Genomic DNA, 20754 nt, shown 5'->3' on the forward strand with positions numbered 1-20754 from the left:
TTTGAGAAGTGTCTGTTCTTGTCCTTCGTCCACTTTTTGATGGGGTTGTTTGTTTTTTTCTTGTAAATTTGTTTGAGTTCATTGTAGATTCTGGATATTAGCCCTTTGTCAGATGAGTAGGTTGCGAAAATTTTCTCCCATTTTGTAGGTTGCCTGTTCACTCTGATGGTAGTTTCTAGAAGCTCTTTAGTTTAATTAGATCTCATTTGTCAATTTTGTCTTTTGTTGCCATTGCTTTTGGTGTTTTAGACATGAAGTCCTTGCCCATGCCTATGTCCTGAATGGTAATGCCTAGGTTTTCTTCTAGGGTTTTTATGGTTTTAGGTCTAATGCTTAAGTCTTTAATCCATCTTGAATTAATTTTTGTATAAGGTGTAAGGAAGGGATCCAGTTTCAGCTTTCTACATATGGCTAGCCAGTTTTCCCAGCACCATTTATTAAATAGGGAATCCTTTCCCCATTGCTTGTTTTTCTCAGGTTTGTCAAAGATCAGATAGTTGTAGATATGCAGCGTTATTTCTGAGGGCTCTGTTCTGTTCCATTGATCTGTATCTCTGTTTTGGTACCAGTACCATGCTGTTTTGGTGACTGTAGCCTTGTAGTATAGTTTGAAGTCAGGTAGCATGATGCCTCCAGCTTTGTTCTTTTGGCTTATGATTGACTTGGTGATACGGGCTCTTTTTTGGTTCCATATGAACTTTAAAGTAGTTTTTTCCAATTCTGTGAAGAAAGTCATTGGTAGCTTGATGGGGATGGCATTGAATCTATAAATTACCTTGGGCAGTATGGCCATTTTCACGATATTGATTCTTCCTACCCATGAGCATGGAATGTTCTTCCATTTGTTTGTATCCTCTTTTATTTCATTGAGCAGTGGTTTGTAGTTCTCCTTGAAGAGGTCCTTCACGTCCCTTGTAAGTTGGATTCCTAGGTATTTTATTCTCTTTGAAGCAATTGTGAATGGGAGTTCACTCATGATTTGGCTCTCTGTTTGTCTGTTATTGGTGTATAAGAATGCTTGTGATTTTTGTACATTGATTTTGTATCCTGAGACTTTGCTGAAGTTGCTTATCAGCTTAAGGAGATTTTGGGCTGAGACAATGGGGTTTTCTAGATATACAATCATGTCATCTGCAAACAGGGACAATCTGACTTCCTCTTTTCCTAATTGAATACCCTTTATTTCCTTCTCCTGCCTGATTGCTCTGGGCAGAACTTCCAACACTATGTTGAATAGGAGTGGTGAGAGATGGCATCCCTGTGTTGTGCCAGTTTTCAAAGGGAATGCTTCCAGTTTTTGTCCATTCAGTATGATATTGGCTGTGGGTTTGTCATAGATAGCTCTTATTATTTTGAGACACGTCCCATCAATACCTAATTTATTGAGAGTTTTTAGCATGAAGGGTTGTTGAATTTTGTCAAAGGCCTTTTCTGCATCTATTGAGATAATCATGTGGTTTTTGTCTTTGGTTCTGTTTATATGCTGGATTACATTTATTGATTTGCATGTATTGAACCAGCCTTGCATCCCAGGGATGAAGCCCACTTGATCATGGTGGATAAGCTTTTTGATGTGCTGCTGGATTTGGTTTGCCAGTATTTTATTGAGGATTTTTGCATCAGAGATACCATCTCACACCAGTTAGAATGGCAATCATTAAAAAGTCAGGAAACAACAGGTGCTGGAGAGGATGTGGAGAAATAGGAACACTTTTACACTGTTGGTGGGACTGTAAACTAGTTCAACCCTTGTGGAAGTCAGTGTGGCCATTCCTCAGGGATCTAGAACTAGAAATACCATTTGACCCAGCCATCCCATTACTGGGTATATACCCAAAGGACTATAAATCATGCTGCTATAAAGACACATGCACACGTATGTTTATTGCAGCACTATTCACAATAGCAAAGACTTGGAACCAATCCAAATGTCCAACAATGATAGACTGGATTAAGAAAATGTGGCACATATACATCATGGAATACTATGCAGCCATAAAAAATGATGAGTTCATGTCCTTTGTAGGGACATGGATGAAATTGGAAATCATCATTCTCAGTAAACTATCACGAGAACAAAAAACCAAACACCGCATATTCTCACTCATAGGTGGGAATTGAACAATGAGAACACATGGACACAGGAAGGGGAACATCACACTCTGGGGACTGTAGTGGGGTGGGGGGAGGGGGGAGGGATAGCTTTAGGAGATATACCTAATGCTAAATGACGAGTTAATGGGTCCAGCACACCAGCATGGCACATGTATACATACGTAACTAACCTGCACATTGTGCACATGTACCCTAAAACTTAAGGTATAATAATAATAAAATAAAATAAAATAAAAAGAAAAACTGATGTTTATAAGGATCACTGAAGTGTTCAAAATAGAAAATAGATACTTCAATGATTTAGAATGATTAAAATTATGACTAAAATATTTTTTATAAAATAATTTGATATGTTTTAGGTTAAGATGTAAAGAACATTTAAAAAACACAAATATCACTTAGGTAAATCTATCTAGAGTTAAAATTATTATATGGAAACCAAGGTGATTGATATAGTTTGGCTTTGTGTCCCCACCAAAATACGATCTAGAATTGTAATCCCCATGTGTCAAGGGAGGGACCAGGTTGGGGGGTGATTGGATTATGGGGGCAGTTTCCCCCATGCTGTTCTCATGATACTGAGTAAGTTCTCATGAGACCTAACGGTTTTATAAGTGTTTGACAGTTCCTCCTTTGCTCTCCCTCCCTCTTTTCCTGCTGCCTTGTGAAGACGGTACCTGCTTCTCCTTCACTTTCCACCATGATTGTAAGTTTCCTGAGGCCTCCCCATCCATACAAAATTGTGAGTTAATTAAACCTCTTTCCTTTACAAATTACCCAGTCTTGGGTATTTATTCATAGCAGTGTGAAAACAGAGTAATACAGTGATACCTAAACCAATAATTTTCTATATGGGATACCTTTAAAAACTGAGGGACAACAAAGATGTGTCTCTAAATACTATGTCTTTTTTTGCCGCTTTACAAACTACTCAGAAAAAAATGGAAGCAGTAAATTATTCTTCAGTGACTGAGTTCATTCTGGTTGGGCTAACAGAAGAGCCTGAGCTCCAGCTGCCCCTCTTCCTTGCCTTCCTGGGAATCTATATGGTCACAGTACTGGGGAACCTGGGCATGATCACATTGATTGGGCTCAGTTCTCACCTGCATACCCCCATGTACTATTTCCTCAACAGTCTGTTCTTCAGGTGAACTTTGTGACAGAGAAGAACATCATCTCCTACTTGTATGCATGACTCAGCTCTACTTCTTCCTCATTTTTGCTATTGCAGAGTGTCACGTGTTGGCTGCAATGGCGTATGACCACTGCGTTGCCATCTGTAGCCCCTTGCTGTATATTGTCGTCATGCCCTATCAGGCCTGTTTTCCCCCCGATTTTGGGTGTTATATTATTATTTTATTTATGTATCTTTATTTTGGATTCAGGGGTACATTATAGGGTCATTATGTGGTTATATTGTGTGATGCTAAAGTTTGGTATATGCATGTTCTAGTCATGCAAGTGCCCAAAGCAATGTTCAGATTCCATGCTATCCCTATCAAAATACATTATTTTTCACAGGTGTTATATAATTGGCCCAGTTTTGTTCATCAGCTTATACAAATATACAGCTGCATGTCTAGGGTTCAATTCTGCAAATTTGATGTGATCAATCATTATTTCTGTGATTTTCCTCCTCTCCTTAAGCTTCTTGATCTAGTACCTATGTTAACAAGTTACTGATACTGTGTGTTCATGCATTTAACATCTTAGTCCCTAGCCTGACCATCCTTAGCTCTTACGTCTTTATTATTGCCAGCATCTTCTATATTTGCTCCACTGAAGGAAATTCCAAAGTCTTTAGCATTTATGGCTCTCACATGGTGGTGGATGTGGTCTTTTAGGGTCTGCAATATTCATATACCAGTAGCTATCATCTGTCAGCTCCGAGTAGTAATGGAAAGTATCCAGTCCTCTGCGTGTTACACTACTGTTGTGCCAATGCTTAACACCCTGATCTACAACCTGAGGAATAAAGATGTCAATGTTTCCCTGGAGAAAATGCTGCAGAGAACATTACTGTAAACAGAAATAAAAGATGGTTTATTAAACTTAAGTGGTTGACTGTTACACTGTATGAACGGATGTCTTTCATTTTAGTGCAACTGTCAATATTTTTTCTCATTTGGTGAGATTGTATTACCATTATTTCTTCTTCTCATCATCTTTTGATGCTATTTCCCATGTGGGGTTTTATGTCATATGCATTATTGAGACACAAATTAGAAGAAAAACTAAGAATAGCATGGATACATAGATCAATTAATGCTATCCCTGCCCCCTTACCTCTCTTATTATACACAGTTGATAAAAACTCAGCTCAGTCTCCAACCATAATGGAAATATCATCTTCCAACAGTGATACCAACCTCATTTATTCTTTCCATTCAAAAAATAACAGAAATCATGACAATGTGTTAGTTGTAATCTCTAGTTTTTGCACAATGTTAGCCTGCAGCAGTCTCTTTTCTGCCCGATTCAACTAACTAAACTTGTCTTCCTTATTTCTTCCATTATTTTTTTTTTTTACTTCAGAAACCTATTCAAAACTTTAGAGTCAAAGTTGCAGACCCACGTGTGTGTTGTGATTGTACACTCCAGTATGCCCACTGCTTTGCCTTTTACTATTCTAATTTGTGCTGCCTGCTTATTGTCCAATGTGCCATGGGCTGTAATCTAGGATGAGATTATGAAAAAAAACTCCTTGTTGATTTTAAATGTGCAGCCATAGTAAAATCACTGATCTAGACCTACTTCATTCTCTTTAAAGACAATCAAACCTAGTGTTTTGTACGATTTTTCAGAGCTTCTAATATGTAACTTCCCATATAGTCTTTTTCAATTCCTTCATTTATTTGATGCACATTCAATATAAAATTTCATCTAATTTTATTTTGAAGAAAGTGAAAAACCATAAAAAGTAAGAAGTGGGGCACTTATATGGACTTATATGGAAACTAACTTCTCCAAAACTTAAATACTTTCTTCAGTTATAAAAATTAGGAGGCAGAATTTAAATCAACAAAGAAACTCAAAAATTAAGTATTATATCAATCCCTAAATTATTACACCATGCTTCCTGAAATACAATTATAAACAGATTTGAATTTTCAGTCAACTATATAAATTACCTATTTACACACAAATTAAAACTAAATATGTCTATTTGCAAGGAAATAAAAAGTGTGTTATTTTAAAGTTTTTAACTTTATTATCAGTACAAGATAACTTGTCAGGATGTGCCTAGTCCTCTCAAGTATATTAATCACAGTGTGTGCTGTGAACTAAATTACATTAGAAGCATGTAAGAAATGCAGAATTTCAAGCTCCACTCAGACCTATTGCATTAGAATCTGCATTTTAGCAGAGATAATCCTTGTGCACAAATATTTACCACCAATTGACAATTTTAAAATTGACAGGGAATTCGTTTACAGGAAAATTAGACAACTGGGGAAATGTCAAGTGTAATTGCTGGTTTTTTCCAAGAATTTGGTCCCTGAGAAATGGAAATCCCGGGAGAGTATTTGTCTCCATGTTTTTTGGTACCTCGCATATCTTAACCCAGGGCAAGCCTTTATAGCACAGCAATCAGAGCTGCTCAGGTGAGGATGCTTGCCACCCTGAAGCTGGAGAAACAAAAACTGCAAAGTCATAATTAGAAATACTGACCTGTGATGCAGACCAGCTTCAAAGTGACTCTGAGACTGAGGGCTGGGCCCTGCCCTCTCAACACTAAAGATTCCAGAATGCTGGGTGTCTATGACTCTCAACACCAACATTAATGCCATGTCAGGAAGAGAACATTCCAAGCCAACATTCTCCATGTCAGGAAGAGGAAATTGCAAGTAAAATCAAGCATTGAAGTTTTTAGGCAGTGGAAAGGTGAGTGTTTTCATCCATCACTTGTGATTTGAGACTATTAGATCTGGAAATAATCTTTGCAAAAAATCAGGAAACTATTATTCCTCATTATCTTTACTTATTCAATTATTTATGAAATGCTCTTTTAAACCCTCTTCAGTGGGCCAGCCACTTTGCTAGTTACTAGAGATACAGAGGAGAATAGCTCGGGTCCATCACTGGGCTTATAGAATAACTCAGTCAAAGAAAATGTGCTGTCTGGAAATCAGAGTTTTTGGAGCTTACAGTAGGAAGATCAACTTAATTACAATAAACTGGACAATATTTACATGATGACTTCATTTTAAATGAGATTTGAAAAGTAAATATTTACCAGACATCAGAAAGACAGGTGTTGGTAAGACTATCTAATGTAAAAGAAATAGCTAATGAAAAGGCTCAGTGAATGTGACAGACTCTAGGAACTGAAAGAAGCGAAGTGTTCCTGTAGCCAAGGAGGAGGATCACAGGAACTAAAAGTGAAGAGGGACAAGAGATAGCATGAATCTGTGTACTTTATCCTAAGTGTAATTAAGGCAACCTGTTCATCAGTGTCCCTGAAAGTGAATCATCATCTGATTTCTGGTCCAGTGTATTTTATGACCAGGAATAAGTAGCTCATTCAACTTCTAAGAACTCAAATACTAGAATATTTTCCTTTACATTTATTTTTATTTTTTTTCAGTAGTAAATTATTTATATATTTTTATTATTATTATACTTTAAGTTTTAGGGTACATGTGCACACTGTGCAGGTTAGTTACATTTATTAAAAGATGTATTCATAAATCTTTCAAATGCCACACACAAAATTAAAGCTTATCCTTGCTCTTCTTAGGATACATGAAAATGCTCACTAATTATCTCATTGCCTGCAAATATTTCCCAAGCTCTTGACAGCTTTTGTGTGCCTTCCATCTTATCAATGTCTTTCTTTTAAAAATATATCCATTGGAAAACGATGGACTCCAGGTGTAATATGATAAGTGTGGAATGGTGCTTTCTAACCTCATGAGCACATAGAAGATGGTCATATTAATATGGCATAATGAAGTTACTGGATGAGAAAGCTTGTGGCTGATGGTGACCAGTGAACTGGCTCTGAATGCCACAGTCTTATCTGTGAGAACCCGAGGGCTACAGACCAATACCTCTGAACCATTATGAACCTTTCCCTACATTTCAGTTCCATGGCATATGAGTTGGAAGCTATGTTACAGATCTTACATGGATTGCTAGTCATCATAGTCTAGCCATTATTTTTTTTATAAATGAAATCTGAATCTCCCCTTGCTTTATCCATCATCCACTATTCTATGGACTTCATTTAGTTAATACAGAAGTACACTTTTATGTTTTCTTATGAATTGTATTCAAACCAGATATGTTGTACATAAAGAATTAATCATTTAAACTAAGACTGGAAGTTAAGTATTTTTCTCACTCAATTTTAGCTTGTTTTTTTTAGCTATTTTCAGTGTCTAGAACCAACCACATTTTGCTGGTTGTCATAATATTTTAGGACTGAAGTTACAGTAACTTGGGAATATTGTTAACCAAAGGGTGTGTGTAGACCATACCATGGGGAATTGTCAATTCCCAAATCCATGTATAACTCACAAAAAGAAAGTTTCACAGTTTAATTCCATAGAACTCTTCCCAGCTGTAATCCCTACTATGATGATTACAATTAAAGTAATCAAAAACGTAAATGACTAAAAAAGTAGAGAAAAATGCTTTTGATATTCATGATGTTCAGTGACCTTACCTTATTCTTTGATATTATATAATTTATAACCCTACTTAGCTGGCTTTGGTCAGACCTTTTATTGCTACTGTCATATATACCCAATTTTTAACACGCAGGAGTAAACATAATAGACCAGGAGCCCTATATTTTTTATTTGTTCTTGTATTAACAGAAGACTATATTTTGTGTACATGTAAAGTATTTTTCAGAGCCTCATATTGATCCTATAGTGATCACATGAGGACACATAAATAATAGAAAATACATTTTTAAATGTATATATAACAGAATAGCTCTGAATTCGTTCGGGAAACCATTCAAAAGTTGCATGCCTCTCTAACTTTACTTCAGTTATTGAAATAATTGACACATCATCCCTTATTATGGTGAATATTAGACTTAGTATCAAGTCTCTACAACAGTATTTCTCTTCTTCTTAACACAGTCCTGTTGGGTTGTATAAACAATCAATTCACGTATTCATTGTATTGGCTATTTCTTCCAGTTTTATTTTATCTGTACATTAAATGATCACTCATTTCCATTTTAATCTTAACTAAATTATTGAAAACATTGTTAACAGGATAGAATTAGATTGAGAGTTCTATTAAAGCAGGGAATGTGTCATTTTACTTTTCATGCATTTTGGCTTCGGGTCAGTATTCGACCCCTTGTCTCTCAGTAATGATGGCTGAATAAAAGAGCGAGCTAGAATAGGTGCAGCAAACCACCATGGCACATGTATATCTATGTAACAAACCTGCACATTCTGCACATGTATCCCAGAACTTAAAATAAAAATTAAAAAATAACAAAAGAAAGAGCTAGAGAGAGAATGAGGAAAGGATGGAGAGAGGGAGAGAGAGATGGAGAGAGAACAAGGAAAGGATGGAGAGAGGGAGAGAGAGATGGAGAGAGAACGAGGAAAGGATGGAGAGGGAGAGAGAGATGGAGAGAGAACGAGGAAAGGATGGAGAGAGGGAGAGAGAGATGGAGAGAGAATGAGGAAAGGATGGAGAGAGGGAGAGAGAGATGGAGAAGCAGGGTGGGAAGAGCTTCAGAAGAACTAGAAACAAAATGTTTACTGGAACTATTCTACAAAGACTAAGATGTCTCTAGGGAACAGGACTAAGCACATAGGGAGGTGATTCAGGAACTTTTATTTTTAATTATAATCATATTTACATTTTTACATTCATCAATTTTTATGAATACTATGATCTCCCTAGGTGACTCTGATGATTAACCATATTGGGAAATCCCTGAATTGATAAACACTGTTTGTGTTTAAATATGTCCTACATCTGGCTGTAAAGCAACAGAGCCATGTTACTCGGTCTTACTCATGAGCATGTTGTGAGAGCCTGTGCAACCTGCCTGTATAAAATAAAGATGAACTATGTCTATGGCACATCTATATTGAGCAACTGAAACATTGGCTATGACAAAAAAAGTTCCCTGATTTGAAACAAGTTACATCCTAGAAAGGAAGGCAATTACTGATCCTATGTAAGGATGTTAAGTGAAGACAGATTCAAGGAGAAAATGGTATGGAGTGTGAAGGCTAGCACATTTATGATAACCACCTTGAGTTTCTGGAGTACAATATAACATATTGAGATCCAGTATCTTAATTCTACTCCCATATCGGGCTAAATTGAATTTTTTTCATAAATCTAAAGAGATTACCAGAAGTAGCCAATGATCCCTTCAGTGCTTTGTTGGTGTCTTAACATATTGATGATCTGTTTAGATGTTCTGTTCAGGAACTGTATTATGTTGAGTCTATCCATAAGTTTGAGAGAATTAATATCTTTGCAACACTGAGTCATTAAATTATGAATAGGAAAACTTCTTAACCTTATTAAGAATTTCTTTTTTTTAAATTATTAGTATTATACTTTAAGTTTTAGGGTACATGTGCACAATGTGCAGGTTAGTTACATATGTATACATGTGCCATGCTGGTGTGCTGGACCCATTAACTCGTCATTTAGCATTAGGTATATCTCCTAATGCTATCCCTCCCCCCTCCCCCCACCCCACTACAGTCTCCAAAGTGTGATGTTCCCTTTCCTGTGTCCATGTGTTCTCATTGTTCAATTCCCACCTATGAGTGAGAATATGCGGTGTTTGGTTTTTTGTTCTTGCGATAGTTTACTAAGAATGATGATTTCCAATTTCATCCATGTCCCTACAAAGGATATGAACTCATCATTTTTTATGGCTGCATAGTATTCCATGGTGTATATGTGCCACATTTTCTTAATCCAGTCTATCATTGTTGGACATTTGGACTGGTTGCAAGTCTTTGCTATTGTGAATAGTGCCGCAATAAACATACGTGTGCATGTGTCTTTATAGCAGCATGATTTATAGTCTTTGGGTATATACCCAGTAATGGGATGGCTGGGTCAAATGGTATTTCTAGTTCTAGATCCCTGAGGAATGGCCACACTGACTTCCACAAGGGTTGAACTAGTTTACAGTCCCACCAACAGTGTAAAAGTGTTCCTATTTCTCCACATCCTCTCCAGCACCTGTTGTTTCCTGACTTTTTAATGATTGCCATTCTAACTGGTGTGAGATGGTATCTCATTGTGGTTTTGATTTGCATTTCTCTGATGGCCAGTGATGGTGAGCATTTTTTCATGTGTTTTTTGGCTGCATAAATGTCTTCTTTTGAGAAGTGTCTGTTCATGTCCTTCACCCACTGTTTGATGGGGTTGTTTGTTTTTTTCTTGTAAATTTGTTTTGAGTTCATTGTAGATTCTGGATATTAGCCCTTTGTCAGATGAGTAGGTTGCGAAAATTTTCTCCCATGTTGTAGGTTGCCTGTTCACTCTGATGGTAGTTTCTTTTGCTGTGCAGAAGCTCTTTAGTTTAATTAGATCCCATTTGTCAATTTTGTCTTTTGTTGTCATTGCTTTTGGTGTTTTAGGCATGAAGTCCTTGCCCATGCCTATGTCCTGAATGGTAATGCCTAGGTTTTCTTCTAGGGTTTTTATGGTTTTATGTCTAACATTCAAGTCTTTAATCCATCTTGAATTAATTTTTGTATAAGGTGTAAGGGAGGGATCCAGTTTCTTTAATTTCTCTCAGAAATATTTGGAAGTTTCATTCTATAAACATTGCATGTATTTTGTTAATTTTATTCCTAGGTATTTGATGCTAGCTTATTGCTATTTTACGTGATACTATTTTTAAATTTGTATTTTATTTGTAGCTTCTTAAAAATACATTTTAATGTAAAGATACCTAAAGATCAAATGGAAGAGAATGGAGAATAATGTGATTTGCAAACACTATCAGTGATGATATACTATCAGAAAAAGGAAAGTTTAGGCAAGATACATTACTAAATCGTAATTGATAAGGGGTTAAATCCAAGGATTGAACAATTAAAGGAAGAAGTATAAAAATCAGAAATTTTAGTGGGAGACATTGACATACCTCACTAAATAGCTATTGGAATAGTAAACAAGAGAAAAAAAACACTATGCACAAGAAAAATCTAAACAACATAATTAATGCATTAGATATAATTGAAATATATAGATCACATGACCCTCCAAAGACAGACAACATATTCTTTAAGATGTACTGAAATATTTACAAAAATTGACCATATGGTGTACTATAAAGTCTCAGTAATTTGCAATGATTTACATAATTCAGATTGTATTCATTGATTACAATGAAATTACAATAGATGTATTTTTGAAAGAAATAGCTAAAAAAAAAAAAAGGCCCCACATCTGTAATGATAACAATTCACTTCTGTATAATCCTTGCAACGATGAAAAAACTGAAACAAAAATTATAAAATATTTTAAACTTAATAATATCATAAATTTTGTATACCAAACCTTGCGAGATCCAGCTAAAGTGGGGTTCAGATGGAAATTTATAACTTATATGTACACATTAGAAAAGAATAAAAGTTGAATTGTTGATTCAAGCTTCCACTTCAAGAGGTTAGGGAAAAAAATAGGAAATCATACTAAAGAAATGTGTAAAGAATATAATAAAGTTTTTAGAAACAACTAAAGTAGAAATAAATATATCACTCATAAAATTAACATACCCAAAAGTTAATTTACTTTATTTGAGTAATACAATTGGAAAATTTCTAGAATGGTTGATCGAGACAAAAATGGAACCATAAATTACTGATTTTAGGAATCAGAAAAAAGAAATCGCTGCATAGTCTACAATTATGTTTAGATGTTAAAGAAACAATTACCAAAAAAGAAGAAGAATACAATATATTTGATCATTTGCAAAGTGGGCAAGCATTTTCAAATTTAAATTTAGGAAAGTTGAGAAGAAAGATAAGATCTGAATAGTAATATCTATTAAATAAATTCAATCCATTACTAAAAATTCTCACAGAGAGAAAACCGTAAGTCTAGATTGCTATACTGGTGAATACTTCCAAACATTTAAGGTATTTTGGGGCAATCTATTCCAAAAAATATGTTTTTGAGATTTGTGTTATTGCATGTATTTGTGATATGTTCCTTTTAAAATATAGAGTAATATTTTATGTGTGTGTGCATATAAGACAGAGAGAGGAAGAGAGAGAGGGAGAGAGAATTGTAGTATAGGTGTATACTACATCTCATTTATGTATTCATCTGTTGATAATGTTTTGGTTTTTTCCAGTTTGGGGCTCTTATGAATAAGGCTGTCATGAACATTTTTGTATAAATCTTCATGTAGACAAACGTTTACATTTTTCTTGGGTAAGTACTGAGGAGCAGAATTATTATATTGCACAGTGTCTGTTTAAATTTATACTAAATTGCCAACATCTTTTCCAAAGTGGTTGGACAATTTTACACCTCCCCCAAATTTTATAAGTCCAGTTACTTCACACCAACATTTGGTATTGTTGGAGTTGTTTCATTTAACCCATTCCAATACAGGTGTGCAGAGCTGTATCACTATGGTTTTAACTTTCATTTCTTTGATGACTGACATTGAGCATATTTTCATATACTTAAGGACTATTCATACATATTTTTGTAAGGAATTTGTTCGGATATTTTCCTGTTTTTAAAATTTTCTTGCCTTCATATTAATTGTAAATATTATTTCTATATTTTGAATAAAAGCCCTTTTTCAGATATATGTATTTCCATAGAATTGCCTTCTCATTTTCTTAATACTATCTTTTGAAGAACAGCTTTTAATTTTGATGACATACAAATTAAGTATTTGTATGGTTTTTTGTTTGTTTGCTTTGGGTTTTGTTTATGTGTGTCTGTGTGTGTGTGTGTATCCTTTCTAAGAAAGCTTAAATTTTAAAATCTCAAAGAATTTCTCTAGCATTTTCTTCCAGATATTTTATAGTTTAGCCTTTCTGTTTATATCTGTATTTTAGTTTTTTTATAGAAGTAAGATATACATTTTTAGGTTTTCCATATATAATATTCTTTGTAATTTAACTCTAAGCCATTTGGAATTTTACTTTGGCACATGCAATGAGTAATTTGCCTGATCATAGTTTAACAGAATAAATAACTATATTTTAAATTCCATATATTCTAAATGTATGCCTGTTTTTTGTACTTCTTCCTAATTCACAAAAGTTAAAAGAAGAGAAAAAAAATGGAGGTATTTTTATCTGTTTCTGTAATTTGAATGAGTAAAATGGCTTATTTTCCAATTGACAGGATATGAATAGGTAACAAATACAATGATGATCTTGCTTACTTTCTGATTAATAAGTCTGCCAATTTTATTAATAGGTAGGTAATATTTTTATTTATCTTTCACAGATTTGGAGTCAAGACACAAACGGGTTATTTAACTTATCCACGGGTATCATTAGTAAATGATAGAGTCAGAAAGCAAACATAGGCACTTTGAGTTTAAGGCCTGTCCATTTAACCACTACTAACACAGCTTCCCTCAAATAATGGCAGAAGTGCTTGGTCCAGAGACCATAAACCAGATAACTGTGGGCCAGTCCAGCTCGTGTTAAATTTATACAATTATTGTTATAGAGATTGTTTCATAGTAATAATATTTTAAAATATGAAAATTTTATGTATAAATCGAGATTTCTTGATAATTACATTAAAAATGGAAAAATCTGACAGTAATATCTCTGTTCACCCCTCCCAGAAATTAGTTTCAGGTAATTAAAGTTTACCATCCTTAGGCAAGGTTTGTTCTCTCCAAGTTGTCATGAGTTCAACTCATTTATATTGGCTTATATTAATATTTAAGTTAGTGAGTCTAAACTTAGAAATATTGGCTTAAAATCACTGAAATATTTAAAAGAAGAAAGGGATACTTAGAAAGTGTTCAATGATAAAAATGGCTAAAATATTTTACATGAAACACATTTATTATATTTGAAAATAAGATTAAATAAATATTATTTGAGGTAAACTTTACTTACTCAAAGGGGATACCTAAAGCATGAATATCTGGGAACCTTTTCTCAATGAAGAATAATAAAGTCCCTCCCACAACCATGGGGTTTTTTTGTTTTGTTTTTTCTCTTCCTGCAGAAACTGACTGGAGGAGATGTCAGGAGAAAATAATTCCTCAGTGACTGAGTTCATTCTGGCTGGGCTCTCAGAACAGCCAGAGCTCCAGCTGCCCCTCTTCCTCCTGTTCTTAGGAATCTATGTGGTCACAGTGGTGGGCAACCTGGGCATGACCACACTGATTTGGCTCAGTTCTCACCTGCACACCCCTATGTACTATTTCCTCAGCAGTCTGTCCTTCATTGACTTCTGCCATTCCACTGTCATTACCCCTAAGATGCTGGTGAACTTTGTGACAGAGAAGAACATCATCTCCTACCCTGAATGCATGACTCAGCTCTACTTCTTCCTCGTTTTTGCTATTGCAGAGTGTCACATGTTGGCTGCAATGGCGTATGACCGTTACATGGCCATCTGTAGCCCCTTGCTGTACAGTGTCATCATATCCAATAAGGCTTGCTTTTCTCTGATTTTAGGGGTGTATATAATAGGCCTGGTTTGTGCATCAGTTCATACAGGCTGTATGTTTAGGGTTCAATTCTGCAAATTTGATTTGATTAACCATTATTTCTGTGATCTTCTTCCCCTCCTAAAGCTCTCTTGCTCTAGTATCTATGTCAACAAACTACTTATTCTATGTGTTGGTGCATTTAACATCCTTGTCCCCAGCCTGACCATCCTTTGCTCTTACATCTTTATTATTGCCAGCATCCTCCACATTCGCTCCACTGAGGGCAGGTCCAAAGCCTTCAGCACTTGTAGCTCCCACATGTTGGCGGTTGTAATCTTTTTTGGATCTGCAGCATTCATGTACTTGCAGCCATCTTCAATCAGCTCCATGGACCAGGGGAAAGTATCCTCTGTGTTTTATACTATTATTGTGCCCATGTTGAACCCTCTGATTTATAGCCTGAGGAATAAAGATGTCCATGTTTCCCTGAAGAAAATGCTACAGAGAAGAACATTATTGTAAACAGTAATAATAAGAAGATGATATATTAATCCTAAGTAGTGGACTGTTACATTGTATGAATGGATGTCTTTCACTTTAATGCATCTGTCAATAATTTTTACCATTTGGTGAGATTATATTACCATTATTTTTTCATTTCATGACCCTTTGATGTCATTTCCCATGTGGGGTTTTAACTCATATGTATCAATGAGACACAAATTAATATAAATACTAAAATCGACATGAGTACATAGACTCATTAATGCCAGCCCCATGTTCTTACCTCTTTTCTTTTACACAATTGATAAAATTCAGCTCAGTTCTCAACCATAATGAAAATACCATCTTCCAAAAGTGATACCAATCTCCCTTATTCTGTCTTTTCAATAACAACATAAATTATTGCAATATGATAGCTGTAATTTTAGCCTGCAGCAATCTCTTTTCTGCCTTATTCATCTATTTACCTCATTTGTCTGCTGTATTTCTTCTTTAGCAACATAATCAAAATTTCAGAATATAAGTTACATATCCGTGTATGTGTTATAATTGTGCAATCCAATATATCATCTGCTTTGCATTTTCCTATTCTAGTTTGTACTTGCCTTCAACCTACACTGGACTTCAGTCTTCATGAAGATTCCCCCGTACATGTGGTTTATTGCCACGTCTCCAGCGTCTATCATAGTTCTTGCCACCTTAGGTCCTTGAAAGCTTTTTTATTATTTCCTCATTTAAGCTAAGTATAGGAAAGCCATATGTATGTCATACTTACTTTATCTATTTATCTCTCGAAGAGCTACATATGTTTTTAAATCTAATCTAATTTAATTTATATTTCAAGTTGATTAAAATTTACTTTAGAAGGTTCTTCAAGAATCTATAATATAACTGGTAACATTCTGACCTATTCTATGCTAAGATGTATGTGTATTTGTTCTGTGAAAAATCCCAATGCAGATATGATAACTTGTTAACACCTGATTTTTTAAGTCATTAAACCCTCTCAACAACCAAGGAGTCCCTAAAGCAATACTTATTTTTTCTTTCTTTTCAAACATGTGGCACAGGAAGGTTAAAAAATATGTTTGATGCCTGATGGGTAAACATAGCAAATCTGGTGATAGAGTTGGAACCTGAATAGCATGGTCTAAACTACCCTTAATTCTCTATGCCTAGAGCAGAACATAATTTTACCTGTGCTGGTAATGAGAAAATTCCTTGCTATGTAGATATTTAGTGAATTTTATGATATATAAAATATACTTCAATAAAATTGCTTTAAAATGAAAGTGAGGGTGCTACGTGATCAAATACAATAAGCTATGTTTCTATAACCAGAAGAAATATTTCACTTGTCTATATTTGGATGGGGCTGGTTAAGTTGCTTTGATCAGATTCCAGGTAATGCAGCTTACTCTGTTTATATATATTTAATCACAGGCTCCTGGATATCGAAACTATAGTTTGTCCATCCTTTTAGTTGAAGGGAGTGTAGGTGAATGAGCCATAGGTTAATAGGACTATTTCCCGGGAACTCTAAAAACATGGCATGTATAAAATTGAGCATACCAAGTAGATTTGGATCTTCTTGCCTGAGAAAATTCTCAATCAATCATGGACTCTATTAACCTGAGTCTGGGAAGATTCAACTGTTAATCTATTTCTTCCATGTGGAGCCAAGTTAAATGATTTCTTTAAGCTTATTTACTTATTACTTATTTGCTATTACTAGTGTATCTAAGTATAACTAGTGAAAAAATTGCCAGGATCCGACTTAGAAAAAAATATATTTCTAAAAGCTAAGGGGACTTAAAGTTATTTCCTCAGAAAACTCATCTCTGAAACTCAATCTGCATTACTTTTCCATATCATCCTTATGTTCTCTTTCAGAAAAACTATCTCTTTTTCTTCTTAGCTTGCATTGCTTGTGGTAATTTTATGATCATTTGAACGTCTACTCTGTACATTTCCCTTGCTTCAATGGACTATAAGCTCGAGTAGAGAATACACACTCAAATATTTATTAATGATTATACCAAACACCCTTGGTTTCTCATGCCACATTCTTTCAGACTACCTCCTGTTTCTCATTTCAGCAGACTTGAGGCACATTTATTAGCTGTGTGCAAGCTGAGAGTTAACTTGCATTGAAGGTGTTACACTTCAAATTTCCAGCAAGTGCTTTGCACTTTCACTCTGGAAACTTCTCCACAATTTCAGATGCTCATTTGGCTTATGTACAGTCAGCTCAAAGAATTCTTGCTCTTGGGGTCACCTTTACCCAGTAACAGTGAAAATTGTGTGTAATGCCACATCATCCTGTCACACAGGACAGCCATCTTGGGAAACATCATATGCACTTCTGAGGAAGTGCTGGTAAAATTGAACCACCATTGCTCATACCAGCTTTTCAATAACATACTCCAATATTAGCTTTTCCTTCTTCGCATTTTGACTCAAATTTGTAAACATTACTAAAAAATTAACAGCTTAAATGAAGATAAAACAATAATTTAAAGTCCGTTAGAAAACTATTTATGTTTGCTGAGTGCAGTGGCTCATGCCTGTAGTCCCAGCACTTTGGGGAGCTGAGGTGGGTGAATCACTTCTGTTCAGGAGTTTGAGACCAGCCTGGGCAACAAGGAGAAACCTCATTTCTGCAGAAAATACAAAAATTAGCTGGGCATGGTGGTGTGTGCCTGAAGTTCCAGCTACTTGGGAGGCTGAGGCAGGAGTATTGCTTGGGTCCAGGAAGTTGGGGCTGCAGTGAGCCTTGATTGTGCCACTGTACGTCAGCCTGGGCGACAGAGAGAGATTGTCCCCCAAACTACCACCACCACCAATGAACAAACAAACAAAAACTTTGACAACTTTTAATGGTCAAAAAATATTGTATATATTATTGTGTACAAGTTATTTTGAATGTGTGTGTGTGTGTATAGCGAAATGCCTAAATTGAGCTAGTTAACATATATATTACCTAACATATTTATTTGTGTGTGTGTGGTGAGAACACTAATCCAATAGATTTTTATTACTATAGTTACCATTTATACAATAGTTTTTAACTTATTCCTTCTATCTAATTAAAATATTATATCCTTTGACCAACATCTCCTCCCACACGCCCAGCTGCAGATAAACACAATTCTACTGTCTACCTCTGTGAGTTCAGCATTTTTAGATTCCACATGTATGTGAGATCATGTAGTATTTGTCTTTCTGTGCCTGGCTTATTTCATGTAATATAATGTCCTACAGGTTCATCTGTATTGTTGCAAATTTTTAAATCTAAATATTATTCCATTGTGCACATATACCACATTTTGTTTATCCATTCTTCCTAAGCGATGGACACCTAGGTTAATCTATATCTTGGCTATTGTGAATAATGCTACAATAAACATGGGAGTGCAGATATTTCTTTGACGTGCTGATTGTATTTTTTGAATATATACCCGATAGTGGTATTGCTAGGTCATATGGTAGTTCAATTTTTAATTTTTTGAGGAAGCTTTATGCTGTTTTCCATAATGACTGTACTAATTTACATTCCCATAAACAGCATGTAATGGTTCACTTTCCTCCACATCCTCTCCAACAGTTATCCGTTCTCTTTTTGATAGTAACTATCCTAACAAGTATGAGGTGATATCTCACTGTAGTTTCTCTGCAATTTGATGATTTGTAATTTTGAACACTTTTTCATATACCTGTTGACCATTTTTATGTCTTCTTTTGAGAAATGTCTATTTAGATGCTTTGCCTATTTTTAAATCTGTTTGTTTTCTTACCATTGAGATGTTTGCATTTCTTATATATGTAGGATATCAATCGCTTGTGAGATGTATGGTTTGCAAATATTTTCTTTCAAAGCAAATTTGATTAAGAAAATCTATTGTAAATTATTATCTCAAAATGATATAATACTAATAAATATTTTGAGTAAAAAGTTTAATAATCTTTATTTCCAAACAAGTTAATTAGTCTATATATGGAACTAAAATAACCTGTACAGTGCATGTGTTTCTTTTGTTCCTCAACATTTTTATTTTTAGAAGAAAACCTTATCATTTCTCCTTTGTGCAGTTCCCTAGGAACACCTCTTGTGTTTACACCAACATCTACCAGAAGCTTTCATTTAGCCCTCAAACTAAAATTATCCAAGCATTGGTGTTTTATGAGTACATTACGATATTTAATACAGTTAGTAGAGGTCAATGAAAATAAAAACTTCCATGTCTTACAGTGCATTCATTTTCTAGAATAGCTGTAACAAAGTATCATACTCTGGGCAGCTTTAAACAACTGAAATTTATTGTCTCATAGTTCTGGGAATTAGAAGTCAAAAAATCAAGATGTCAGCATAGGTGGTTCCTCCTGAGAGCTCTGAGGAAAATTTCATGCCTCTTCCTAATGCCCAGTTATGGCCAGCTTTTCTTGGTGGAAGTGATTTTCTTAAAGTCACACAGCAAGTATGGAGTTAAGCTGAGATTTGAACCTAGGACTGTCCAACCGAATATCAGGATATACTGGAATTTTTATATCAAGTCATGAAATATTAGAACTGGAAGAGATGTTAAAAATGATTTAACCCAATTACTCATATTGTACTGTGTACTTGAAAAATATCTGCTCAGTGGTTACATAGGCTATGCTCTAACATTTCTGGTTGTAAGTCCTGCACATTAAGGTAACTGCTTCCATTTCTGGATGTATTTGTATGCTCTTCTTTGTTGTGAAACAAAATGTGTCTTACCATAGTTTCTAGCAGTTAGTATTACAGCAATTTCTTAGACATGAAGAAAATGAATTCAACATCTCCTAAATATAGGAATATGCTGAATATTTGAAGATAGCTATCATGTGTCAAACAGAGTATTACTGTGCTAGCTAAATATCTTCAGTTCTCTCTGACAATCTTCAAATGACAAAATTTCCAGAACATTTTTCTCCTGAAATTTTCCAGTTTTTCTATACCCCACAAAATTATGGTACTCCAAACTAAACAGTAGTCCAACTATTGTTGAGTGTTAAATAAGACTAAGCAATTCCATTTTCTAGGACCATTTTTTTTTTTTTTTGCAAGTGAAGACTAAAGATATATTGAGTCTTTTTTAAAAGTCACATTATACTGTTGACCAGTATTGAATTTGACTTTCACCACCTCAACCATGAAGTACAATAGTGTAGATCAATCACAGTCCACTGCTCCCCGGCCACAATGGAGGATTACATGAATTATATTTAGGCTGTTTTATTGCTTTCCTGCAAATATTCAATTTAGCAACAAAGGAAGATAGTTCATTGGTTTTGGAGAAGCTGTTGAAATATAAGCATGAGATCTGTCAAGCAGTGATTTGATTTATTATTTTAAAATTTCTAACACTAATATGAGTAAGATATAACTTTTCAGGAAGTGTCTTGGTCCTCTAAAATCAGCTAATAATAGTCTGGGCTGTGAACAAATAGTACTGGCTTGTAGTTTCTAAGAAATGCAGAATCTCAAACCGCACTCAGAC

General features: G+C 34.9%; 1 protein-coding gene, 1 long non-coding RNA gene and 1 pseudogene across 2 annotated transcripts in view; 2 read left to right on the forward strand and 1 right to left on the reverse strand.

The window, feature by feature from the left end:
- Positions 1 to 5849, reverse strand: part of LOC102724410 (uncharacterized) — a 23078-nt gene extending 17229 nt beyond the window's left edge. The window contains exon 1 of the long non-coding RNA XR_007062931.1: positions 5788 to 5849. This is a non-coding gene — a long non-coding RNA (uncharacterized LOC102724410). The remainder of the gene's footprint in view (positions 1 to 5787) is intronic.
- Positions 3058 to 4213, forward strand: OR8G7P (olfactory receptor family 8 subfamily G member 7 pseudogene; annotated as a pseudogene).
- On the forward strand, positions 5731 to 19000 carry OR8G1 (olfactory receptor family 8 subfamily G member 1). The gene is made up of 3 exons (NM_001002905.2): positions 5731 to 6000; positions 12437 to 12516; positions 14296 to 19000. Exon 3 carries the CDS (start codon positions 14312 to 14314, stop codon positions 15245 to 15247), a length of 936 nt encoding a protein of 311 aa, NP_001002905.1. The 5' UTR covers positions 5731 to 6000; positions 12437 to 12516; positions 14296 to 14311; the 3' UTR covers positions 15248 to 19000.
- The last annotated feature ends 1754 nt before the right edge of the window (positions 19001 to 20754 follow it).

This window comes from Homo sapiens, chromosome 11 (assembly GCF_000001405.40).
Source record: "Homo sapiens chromosome 11, GRCh38.p14 Primary Assembly".
NCBI classification, from domain to species: Eukaryota; Metazoa; Chordata; class Mammalia; order Primates; family Hominidae; genus Homo; species Homo sapiens.